Raw genomic sequence first — 12,065 nt, 5'->3', positions numbered from 1 at the left:
GTCATTTATTTTATGTAAGATTCTGAAATGTAGATATAAGTCCATATAGGATATACCACAGAGCAGGATGGCAAAGTTCAAACACTGATGTTGAATTAAAGAAATCGTATGCCCCTTTATTTTCATGATGACAGAGACTATTTGGGTACACCCCAGTGCTCCTTGCTAAAGGGAGTGCACATGTATTTATTGATAGTGGAATGCACATGTCCTTAAGAAATCCTGTTGTCATAACTTTTAAAACCAAAGATTTCTCAGGCCCAGCAAGGTGGCTCACACCTGTAATCCTAGCACTCTGAGACAGGGGGATTGCTTGAGCCCAGGTGTTCGAGACCTGATAGAATAAATGTAGCAGAACCCGATCTCTACCAAAAAAAAAAAAAATGTCGAGTGTGGTGGCACGTGCCTGTGGTTCCAGCTACTCAGGAGGCTGAGGGAGGAGGGTTGCTTGAGCCCCTGGAGGTGGAGGGTGCAGTGAGCCAAGATGGCACCACTGCGCTCCATCCTGGGCAACAGAGGGAGACCCTGCCTCAAAAAAAAAAAGAAAAAAAAAAAGATTTCTCAAACTAACCTCAATACTGTGGGCTGTGGCAGAAAATTTGAGATGAAAAGTATCATTTTTTTTTGCCGTGCGATTAATGAAATGGAGACTTGCATCCAATTTAAAACTGCACTCGTTTGTGCCGTTTTCATTTTTCATTAACCTCTATTTCAACAAATGTGTAATGGCTTCATGCATGCAAGGTAGGCAGTGCGCTGGCCGTGAGATTACAAAGATAAACAGAGCTCCTGCTCTCAACCAGCTTTTGTCTCCAGGAGAAGGAAGACAAGTGGTAGTTTATTTCAGTGCCATTTGCTAAGGGTGTACTAGAGATAACAGTTTGATTTGGGGACACAGAGAGGTGTGTTTTGGAGGGGACAAGAAGAGGAGGCATCGGAGCCTTCTTCATCTTCCTCATGAAGGGAGCTACTGTTTTCTTAAAATTCAAAGAATTAACGGGTGATTAAAATTTTTATTAAAAGTTTTATTGTTATCTAATAATGGAAAAGGTTTCGAATGTCCTTTCCCTCAGTAGGTTAAAGGTACACTTCCTAAAGTCCTGTTCTATAGTTACCAAAAAGAAAATGAGTCAAAGAGCAGTGATTCTGGCAGTGCGTCCTCGTTCCTGCACTCTGCCGATGGCGTAAGGTGGTCATCTCTGAGTGGTGGCGCAGACAGATTGGCTGGTTTTAAAGGATCAGTAATGCCAGCTGTGTGTCAGCATCAGGTTACAGCTCTTTAAATCACTCTTTCAAATTAAAGTCCTAGATAAATGGTGGGCAGTTTCCAGTCTTTGAGTTCTCCTCAAATTTTATTATATTGTAATATCCTGCCATCAAATATTTCCACTCCTGCAGAGTAATTCAGTGTGTCATGGAGTGATACGTTTCCAAAGTAAAATATTTCATTTTAAACCAATTATGCTTTGTTGGCAAACTTACATGTCCCAGAGATGGACCAGTATATGTATTTCTGATTCTGGAAATTTCCATCTCCTGCCTTGCATTGACAGCAGACCTGGGCATAGCTTCCAATGGATGCTCAGCTCATGACCCTTTCTGTCCCCTGCTTCCAACAATCAGTGGGACCAGGGGTGGACTCTGACCTCACTTACAATCCTGCCTGTGTCCTGTCTTTTTCCTTCATTCATGGCCACCACAAATGTTCGTTTTACCCTGACTTAAAGCATGGGGAAAGACTGTATGTGGTACATCTCCTAAGCTTGATACAACGTCTCTGATGACCTCTGGACATCACACATCCATAGGAAATTACCTAAACATGAAATGTGCAAGTAGCAAAAGGAAATTGCAGTTCTAGGATGATCTCAGGTTTGTTTCTTAAAAAAAAAACTATACACATATTTAAAAAGTATTTATATTTATATATGTGAGCCATATTGCTAAGTGTGATTACCACTGGGCAGTGTGTTTGTGTGGAGGGAAGGGCGGTTGTTGGGGAAAATACATTCTTACATTTTTTTATTCATTCATACTTTTAAAAAAACTATTTCGTATTTAAATTTTACTCTGACAATAATGGTATATAAAAAATATCGGGGCTCTTTTTAAAGGAACAACAACCAAAACCCTCATAGGAAAAGACAGGGTCCATCTTGTTAGCATACGTGTTGGTTAAGAGTGCTGCCTCTGGAACCAGGCTGTGTTCAGCTGGAACTCTGTACCTATTTTCTCATCTGTAAAATGGGAATAATAATAGTGACCATCTCAATTACAGTGAATATTAAAAGAGTTAATATATGTAAAGCAGAGCAGTGCCTGGCAATTGACAAGTGAGAACTGTGGCTACTATTATTACCGTTATTAACATACCTTCATGAGCTGGGCCCTCTTGGTGTGCAGTATTTACTTTGTAAGTCTGAGACACCTGGGAGAGCAGATTTTATTCTAACAAACCTCTCCATAGTGATAAACATCTTCACCAAAAGGCTAATGTTTAATGGTAATGTTTTAAAAATGGCTGCATCATTTTGCATAAGTAAACCAGCCATTTATAGTTTCTGTCGTGGATGCTTAAATACTTTACCCAGCAGAAAATGGAAATAAGTTAGATACTGATCTGTTGTTTCTTGCTTTTATTTTCCAGGACTCAGAAGGGGTAGAAATTATGTTAGGAGTTTGTGCAAGTGGTCTGTTGATATATCGCGACCGGCTGCGAATAAACAGATTTGCCTGGCCCAAGGTTCTAAAGATTTCATACAAACGGAACAACTTTTACATTAAGATCCGGCCGGGAGAGGTAAGTATACCCACATTTGCCTGTGCGTTGGGAGGAAAGATCCCTGATAGCAAGCAAGCATTTAAATTATCTGCTTATGAGTTCTGAGCATTGTGGGACACAGTGAATGACATCTAAGTGCCTGAGAGAGTTTATTGTAGGTTTGCCCAATAAACAGTAATAAATATTCTCTTCTTTATTATATTGTTCCAATATTTCCTACTGCATACGTTAATTGGAGGGTTTTTAAAAACATATTTTAATATAAAATCCAGTCTCGGCCGGGTGCGGTGGCTCACGCCTATAATCCCAGCACTTTGGGAGGCCGGGGGCGGGGTGGGGGCGTGGATCACAAGGTCAGGAGATCGAGACCATCCTGGCTAACACGGTGAAATGCCATCTCTACTAAATATACAAAAAATTAGCCGGGCGTAGTGGCAGGTGCCTATATTCCCAGCTACTCGGGAGGCTGAGGCAGGAGAATGGCGTGAACCCAGGGGGCGGAGCTTGCAGTGAGCCGAGATCGTGCCACTGCACTCCAGCCTGAGCAACAGAGCGAGACTCCGTCTCAAAAAAAAAAAAATTCCAGTATCATTAATAATTTTGTGTATATTTCAAGCAGTAATGGATAAATCTCTTCCTCCACATGCTGTTGTTATTTCTCCATGCTCTTTCTGTTTGTCCTGCAAATCTGGTTGTACTTTAAAGTGAACAGTTTAGAGGTCCTGTACTTCAAGGTACAAGGAATATTAGAACAAAGGACAATTAGTGTGAATTATATCAATGTTCTATAGCTCAATATATGTTTGTTTGTTTGTTTGTTTGTTTTAAGTCAGAGAAGCTAATGAGACAATCAGAATTGTTAACTAGTCCTTACTCCTTGGACAACAGCCTCCATGATCAACTTACGTTTATATCTTCCTTAGTGGTTTGTACATAATAGTAACACATATCTACTCTTATTTACTTAAGAGATAGTTAATAAATACCTCAAATTTCTAATTGGTATGGTTAGTATAACAGAGGCAGTCAAAGCTCAAAGATTCTAGCATACTTATATCTCTGAACATTTTCTGATATGATATAGAATTATCTCTTATCTTCAAAATCTACTTCTCTACTGGAGTTTCTTGGTGGAAAATGCAATTTAAAAAATCAGAATATCGGCTGGGCATGGTGTCTCATGCCTGTAATCCCAGAACTTTGGGAGGCCAAGGGTGGGAGAATCACCTGGGCCCAAGGATTTAAGGCTGCAGTGAGTTTGATCACACCACTGTACCCCAGCCTGGGTGACAGAGCAAAGACCCTGTCTCAAAAATAACAAAAAAATTGAAACATAAAGCATGTAATGATGTTTAGTATGAACATAACATCATACCTATCTATGATAACTGAAATAATCTGTAAGCTTTTCATGTAAATAACTAAAATTATAGTGTTTTAAAAATATTTCCTAAAGATTGTATATTAAACTTATAGCCAATAGATAGTCATTTGACTTCATTGAACATTTGTTAAGTGAGCACCTATTTATTGTCAGACATTAGAAATCTAAAGACAAATATGACCTTGTTCCTTGTTAAGGGATTTTCTATTTAGCAGAAAAACGGACTCATATACTTTGATTGTAACAGCATGATGCAAATGAGATGATATTCTGTAGACATGGAGTGAGCATAGTATTGTGAGATGCCAGAGGGGAGAGCTAGAGAAATGAATCAGTGGACAACTAGTAAGTCATGGGAGGTTTTAAATCAGGATGTGACACAACTAGGTGAATATTTTGGAATGATACATTTCTTAATGAAATTCAACGACTTAGAAACATGATGTGATAAGACCTAAACTAGGGCAGAGGCTGTGGGAATAGACGGGAGGGAACAAATGCAAGAGAGAGGTTTCAGAGGCAGAAGCAGCAGGTCGTAGAGACAGGATAGAGGAAGTAATTAAAAGAGGGAAAAGTCCAGGATAATCAAAGGTTTTCAGTTTGCATGATTGAAGCCAATGGAGATGACATTCGGCAGGAGGGAAAAGGGGGAAAATTTCAGAAAAACAACTGAAATCCCTTTGAAACAGATTTTCAGGGAGTAACTCTTGCATAGGAAGGAGTTGAACAGAGTTATCAACTGTATATATTTTATTCAAGGCCTTAGACATGGAATAAATTACTCAAAGAGCAAGGCAAGTTAGAGAAAGAAAAGGCCCAAAACTAGAACTCTGGATAATACCACTATTTGAGAAAGGGCCAAGGAGCTGAAGAAATGACAGCCAGAGAAATAAAAGAAGAAACAGGCTGATGGATGACCAGGAGATGAGTTTCAGAGGAAAGTGGTTAGCTAGCAGTATCATATGTTACAGAAAGGGCACGCAGGATGTGGACTAACAAAAGTGTGTTGAACTTAACAGTCAGGCCCCATGATGACATTTCAGAGTTCAGAAGGGCAACAGGAGCACCTGCCAGGTGTGTTGAGGTCAGGAGTAGGTAGCAGAGGCAGCAGGTCGTGGCTTCTGCTTCCTAAAGTTTAGCAGTGAGGAGTGAGATGGGGTTGTGGTGCTGGCATAAGCAGGCTCAGAGAGAGCTGGTTTTTCACTCCTCTTCTCTCTGCTTTTACAATCCTATTTACAGCCTGAGAAAAGTGAGTGAGAAGAAATTGGAGACACACAGACTCTGAAGAAGTTGAAAGAAATTGATATAAAACACAGAGAAATAGATATTAATAAACTATTAATACCTATTCAGGTAGTCTAGGAGCCTGCATCATCCTTGCCTACAGAGGTTGGCAGAGACTCTTCCCAGCTTCTTGCAGCAGAGTGCAAGCTGACTCTTCCATATAACCCCTGGCATTGGCGTAATATGTGCATATTAGTTGCAGGATGAATAAATGGATGATGATTTAGTCACAAGCCACACTATGTCTGTCTTGGCTGAGTCCCTTAGACAGTAGTGATTTTTACAAACACCACTGCACATGAACATCCAGAGTGAATAAGAAGTTGGGAAAGGCAATTGCGGTTGAAGCATTTGTGATGTGTTTCCCACTTCCCCTAATCATCCTCAACAAACAAGAAATAGAGGTCAAACATGATTGTATCTCACATGCCATGCATATGACCCCTCACCTCGGTTCTTTGCCATATAAATGATTTTTGCTATTGATTATAGCAGTAGTACCCATTGTGTGCTCTTTGGGGAAGCCTTTACTGTTTAAGATGATTGCCCTCTGGTGGTCTGATGTGTACCTTCTTCAGAATGTGAAAACCTGTGCATCTGCAGTAATAAAGTATATTATGCAGGAAATGAGATGAGTATTTCACCTCGAAAAATCAAATGGCTGATAAGGCATCATCTGAAGTGTACATGCTGAAAAATATGAAAATATGTTCCCCCAATCTCTGATCTTACGTATGATATAGAGAGACGTTAGCATTTAACACGATAATCCATAGCGGAACACACAAATAAAATCAGCAATCTCTGACACCAAGTTATCAACTACCTAAGAAATACACATATTTCCTGCCCAGGTATTAGGAGAAAAGTCTCATTTCTAAGAATGCTGTAGACTATATTTGTAAACATTTTGTTCATTTCTGTACCTTGCAGTTGAAGTCATTGTGTCATTGAGAAACCATGAAAATAAAAGTTTAAAAGTGATATCAGGGCAAATTGATTTCTGGAAGAAATCAAAAAAACCCCTTTTCGTGTTTGGTTTTCAGTTGTATCATAAGATACACACTTATTCAGAAGACATTTTACTGTATGCATAAAGTGGCTATTTATACCTGCAGCATTTTAAAGACACATTTTTGAAATTAACAAATGAATCTGTATAGCATGAATTATGCATATAGCAATTGATCTAGTAAGTAAATTTTTAAAATTCTGGTGGCATCATGATTCTGTAATTTATTTACAGGGCTTCTGTTATTTATAATTTTAAACTTTACTCTTCAATGTATTTTTTTTTATTTAGTTTGAACAATTTGAAAGCACCATTGGGTTTAAGCTGCCAAACCATCGAGCTGCCAAGCGTTTATGGAAAGTATGTGTTGAGCATCATACATTTTTCAGGTAGGAAGAGATTATTTTGTTTTTTCCCTAAGGAATAATTATAATCACTTATACTGAAAAAGATTGTCAATAAAAAATATGGAATTTTATTCTTTCTATCCCTTCAAGTTCATTGTCACCATATTTCTTGATAAGAAATCCTAAGAGAACTAGAAAAAGACTAAATTTGAAGGATTTTCCCTAATTTGTCATGTACTTACATGTCCCAAACCCCCCTTCTTTAGTATCTTTAGTGTGTTTACATTATTTTTAGGGTGTCCACTTCAAATATCCAATCCATTCCTTACTATTTCAATTCCTTACTATTTCAGTGATTTCTCAATACCCTGAATCCCTTTACCTACCTATGCATGGTACGAGACCCATCAAATTAGGCACCCAACACCAAATTGTCACTCTTCTTCTTCACTAATATCAAACTATTTAGTAGCTGTTTGGGCTTATAGAACCATAGACTGTCCACTTTGCGTGGAATGTTAAAAATTCATCTAGTTCAGTACAACCCTCATTTGCATATATCCTCTCTACAATATCCCTAGTTGATATATACTATATGCATTCTTTTATGAAATCAGATTTATTTAACTGCAAGTTGTGCGTTAAATGTTTAGCATGCAAAACACATGACCTCTCAGAGTAAAAAGTTTAAAAAGCACTCTCAATATTGGACTTAATAGTCTTTCTGCTGTTTTTCTTTATTCTCTTTAGACTACTGTTACCAGAAGCACCTCCCAAGAAATTCCTAACCTTGGGTTCCAAGTTTCGTTATAGTGGCAGGACACAAGCGCAAACGAGAAGAGCCAGTGCGTTGATAGATCGCCCAGCACCTTACTTTGAACGCTCATCCAGCAAACGTTATACCATGTCTCGCAGCTTGGATGGAGGTAGGCATCGCTTACTGGCCCTTAATAACCTAGTACCTACCCCAAAAAGAATGTGAAACTGTCATGAGCTTTCAGTAAGTATAGATATTCCTGGATATTGTATGTTGAAAAGCAGTTGTTGCTTATTGACTGAATGGCACATTTTTAAGTCTCCCCCAGCGAAATGAAAGTCCCTTTGTCAGTCTAACATCTGCAGGTTTATGTAAAATTACATAAAAGAATGGCACTTCGGGAATGAAGAAAATAGCTTTCATAAGCTGACACCCTGAATTTGGAGAAAGATGCTCTCATTCTAAATATAGTAGTCACATACTCTGTGATTTGATTCTCTTGCCAACAGGTCTTAAAGGATTGGTAGGTTTAAGACCATTTGTTTTATAAATCTATAAGTTAAATTTATTTCTGTTTCTAAAAAATCTTTATGAATAAAGTGTGACCTTTATCAGTCAGTTGATAATAGCTGGTAGAAAGGATGACATTCAAATAACAGAGCACAGGGTTGTAAGTTAAATTCTCCTAGTTGTGCTAATTACTACCCCAGATGGACTGGGAGAACAGTGCTAGGTAGGGGTTCTGTACTGCCAAGTTAAATTAGTCAAATGGAGAGATGATCATTCAAACTACCTTTTTAGGGGATAACACAACAGTGAATTTTTAGTAGGGTTTTGTTTTATCGAACAGTTTCTTGATTGCTCTCTGAAGTAATATGGAGGTACACTTTCTGCTGCAAGGCGTGCCCGCTGTAACAATACTCTGGAACTGAATCATGTCTAGGTCTCTGTCTTCTCATTTGGAGCACCTGGAGATTTGTTGTTTTTAATAGAAGATCTTATCCTGTGCAAATAAAAAGAATTAGGAGTTTCTGGTATGCAAGTATGGTTTAAATAATAAGGAAAAACATAAATAAAAATAAACAAAAGTTACAAGTGCATGGTACCATCTCCTTTCCTACCTTTTTTGCCACTGTTCCCCTGAGAGTCTCAGCTCTGCCTTCCCCATTTCACTAGCCGGGTGATTGATGGGGAGAGGTGCTCCTTGAATCTCCCAACTAAAAACAACTGTCTTTTTCTAATGGAATACTTTATGAACAGTTTATAGAAGAAATCAAAATGGCATTATTAGTGCTATATTATGTATGTTACTAGCGAGGTGGAAACTGTACTCTTGTGGCATGGGTAAATCCAGATTGAAGTCCAGGCTCTGCTGCCCTCTGTCTCTGCGGTGGTTGACAAATGATTTCAGCTCTCCAGGTCTGTTTTAGTCATCTGTATAATAGGAATAAGGCCGCCTTTGACGGGGCTGTTGTGAAAAGCAAGATATATGTGAAAGCACTCTTGTTACATAGGTAATTATCTCAATAATCATATTGATAATTACTCTTTTTTCACATTTTTTTAAAATTTCAGTAGCTTTTGAGATACAAGCAGTCGGTTTTTGGCCACATGGCTGAATTGTATAGTAGTGAAGTCTGAGATTTTAGTGCACCTGTCACCTGAGTAGTGCACATTGTACCCAATATGTAGTTTTTTATCCGTCACCACCACCCCCGCCACTGTCTGCCTTCTGAGTCTCCAGTGTCCATTATATTACTCTGTGCCTTTGCATACCCATAGCTTAGCTCCCACTTATACATGAGAACGTATGGTATTTGGCTTTTCATTCCTCAGTTACTTCATGTAGAATAATGACCTTCAGCTCCATCCAAGTCACTTCAAAATACATGATTTCATTCATTTTTATGACTGAGTAGTATTCCATGATGTATATATACCACATTTTATATTCATAATTATTCTTACAGGCTTTTGTGAGCTAGCCTAGGAAGTTAATTGCCATTGTGTGTCTTCTAAGAGTTTCCAGAATACCGAACTTAGAGCCAGCCCTTTTGAATAAAATAATTACCAGGACTGTTTCGAGCTGAATTAAGATATTGAAATATCGATGTTAACATTGAAGCTTTTCTTTCTGGTTTATCCTATTGACTCTTGTTTCTCCTTTAGAGTGTCTCTATTACCTATTTCTATATGTTATCAGTATTTGAGGAACTTTGTAGAATCGCACTTTTTTTTTCCTGAATATCATCCACTTTGTTCAGTGACGTGCACCCCAGGGAACACATTTGTTGTGAATGTTGTTTTCCTTATGACCTTTAGTGTGATAATGACTGCTGAGAAGACAGAAGACAATTGTGAAATCAGTGTACTAATGTCATGCTGTCTCTTTCTCCCTGCCCAAAAGTGATGTTAGTATGTGTTGTCTCTCACTCCTTGCGGTCCTGCCAGCTCTAGTATGTTTTCTGCTGCTGTTGAGCTGGGTGGCACAGCTGCATGTTGCAACATAAACTGCTTTTTTGCAAGGTTGCATCTCACAGAGAATGGCCTAACTGGTCCATTAGGAAGTTGTGTCTCATATGAGCTTTTTCAACGGTGTAAAGAGATATAAAATGTCTTAGTGAAGATATTTTAGTGACATAGTTTAGCTATCGAAAGCATTTCAGAGAGGATTTCATTTCAGAATCCTTTCTTTTATTTACGTTTTTAAATTCCTAAAATAATAATGTAGATATTTTGTCTGTGATTAGTTACTGTGTATTTGAAAAGCAACATTTATAAGTTTTAATAAATTTTATATCTAAAACCTAAAATAATGAGTACCAACTTTTAAAACTTAATTAAGCATCTTTTCACTAAGACGTTTTAGCTGGGATGAAAGGCTCTGTCTTATTCTCTTGAGTTTGCATGTTTTGCATTTGCATGAATTTCATTTAGCAACATTCATTGTGTTTTCCCAAAATATTAGAGATGAGTAAATGTATATGCATATTATGGTAGTCTGTTTAAAATGCAGTAGAAATGAAAACATTTCTGTACTTTAGGTGAATGGAATTGCCATCTGATTTTTATAATCTCTACCAAGATGGTTAATATTTGTTATTACCCATGGAGCTTTTATACTGTAAGAGTGATAGACTTTTCAACATTAATAATAATAATATGAAAACCAATTCAGTGCTCCTTGGTGAATGGCACTTCCAAAGAGCCAAGTGTATTAGAGCAATTGTGTACTGCAAAGACTGCTGTTAGGTGTGGAATTGGCCACTACGAGACTGGTGCCAGTGCCAGCCAATGGTGATAATATGCCCAGCGGCAGCCTCGCCTCATGACCCTCCACTCACCTCCACACTTACACACATCCTCAGCAGAGAGTCTGAGGATAGATGAAATTCCAAGACATGAGCATTTCACGAATTTTAAAGCACTCATATAGGAAATACAGGAAGGTCATGCTCTCATGAAGGTCCCTGCAGCACTGATTTGTTTTTTCAAGGCAAACCTGGTATTTTGTGTTGGTATTTTTTTTTTCAGTAAAGATATAGTTGGTATTGTTCATGTGTCTTCTGACCTAACTATTTTGGATTTTATTTCTTTAATTGTATTTGCTTTTAGCATCAGTGAATGAAAACCATGAAATATACATGAAGGATTCTATGTCTGCTGCAGAGGTTGGTACTGGCCAGTACGCCACAACAAAAGGCATCTCTCAGACCAACTTGATCACCACTGTGACTCCGGAGAAGAAGGCTGAGGAGGAGCGGGACGAGGAAGAGGACAAACGGAGGAAGGGGGAAGAAGTCACGCCCATCTCGGCCATCCGGCACGAGGGAAAGGTATAGCTCCCAGACTGCCTGCAAGAGCTTGCTCCAGCTTTTAAGAATGACTAAATGATGCTGAGGCTGTAAACCAGGAATGTGCTCAGATTTAGGATAAATCATATGTCAGCACTGGTCACATTCATATGTCAATTTTTAAATTATGATTGCTGTTTCAACATTTTTTCTCTGAAAGGTTCATTCATAGCTCTTTGAAAATTTTTATTTTAATAACTTGTGTGCTATGTAAGACTTTCAATAGCTGTCCTGTATGTGTATCTTAAAAATACTTTTGGTGGCGTATTACACTTTTCTGTTTGGGCTCACATTTCAGAACTGTCACTAAAGCTGTTTTCTTTGTTTCTGGCCCCATTCTCCTACCCAAGTACAGCATATTTTTCTAGATATACAATTATCATATTGCCATTCTTCTGACTGTAAGTACATGGAGTGACCACAGCCTACATATTTATACTTACGCCTAATCAGCAGAGTAGTGACTGGCCATGTTTTGAAAAGGGATCTTAAGGCAGAAAGTTGCAACAGGAGATAAAAAGGGAATTTGGCAGCAGCTTCTTCTTTCAGTGTTGAATTCATTAAACTTTGTAACATTGTTTCACCCCAAATTAAATATCTTTTTTAACACCATTTTTAAACACTATGTTTTTTTCTGGTGATCCA

General features: G+C 38.3%; 1 protein-coding gene across 61 annotated transcripts in view; it reads left to right on the top strand.

Moving 5' to 3' along the window:
* EPB41L3 (erythrocyte membrane protein band 4.1 like 3) overlaps window positions 1–12,065 on the top strand; it is a 238,278-nt gene that overhangs the window by 199,551 nt on the left and 26,662 nt on the right. For 47 of the 61 annotated variants that reach the window (XM_047437384.1, NM_001384683.1, NM_001384699.1 and 44 more), the window contains 4 exons: window positions 2,648–2,800; window positions 6,754–6,851; window positions 7,560–7,735; window positions 11,182–11,402. In XM_047437384.1, the coding sequence (XP_047293340.1) occupies window positions 2,648–2,800; window positions 6,754–6,851; window positions 7,560–7,735; window positions 11,182–11,402 (648 nt within the window). The remainder of the gene's footprint in view (window positions 1–2,647; window positions 2,801–6,753; window positions 6,852–7,559; window positions 7,736–11,181; window positions 11,403–12,065) is intronic. The other 14 variants (NM_001384702.1, NM_001384706.1, NM_001384705.1 and 11 more) reach the window with 1 other exon arrangement.

The sequence above is a fragment of the Homo sapiens genome, chromosome 18 (assembly GCF_000001405.40).
Source record: "Homo sapiens chromosome 18, GRCh38.p14 Primary Assembly".
NCBI lineage: Eukaryota > Metazoa > Chordata > Mammalia > Primates > Hominidae > Homo > Homo sapiens.
The sequence above is the reverse complement of the archived record's forward strand: the minus strand, read 5'-3'. Positions and strand labels throughout refer to the sequence as shown.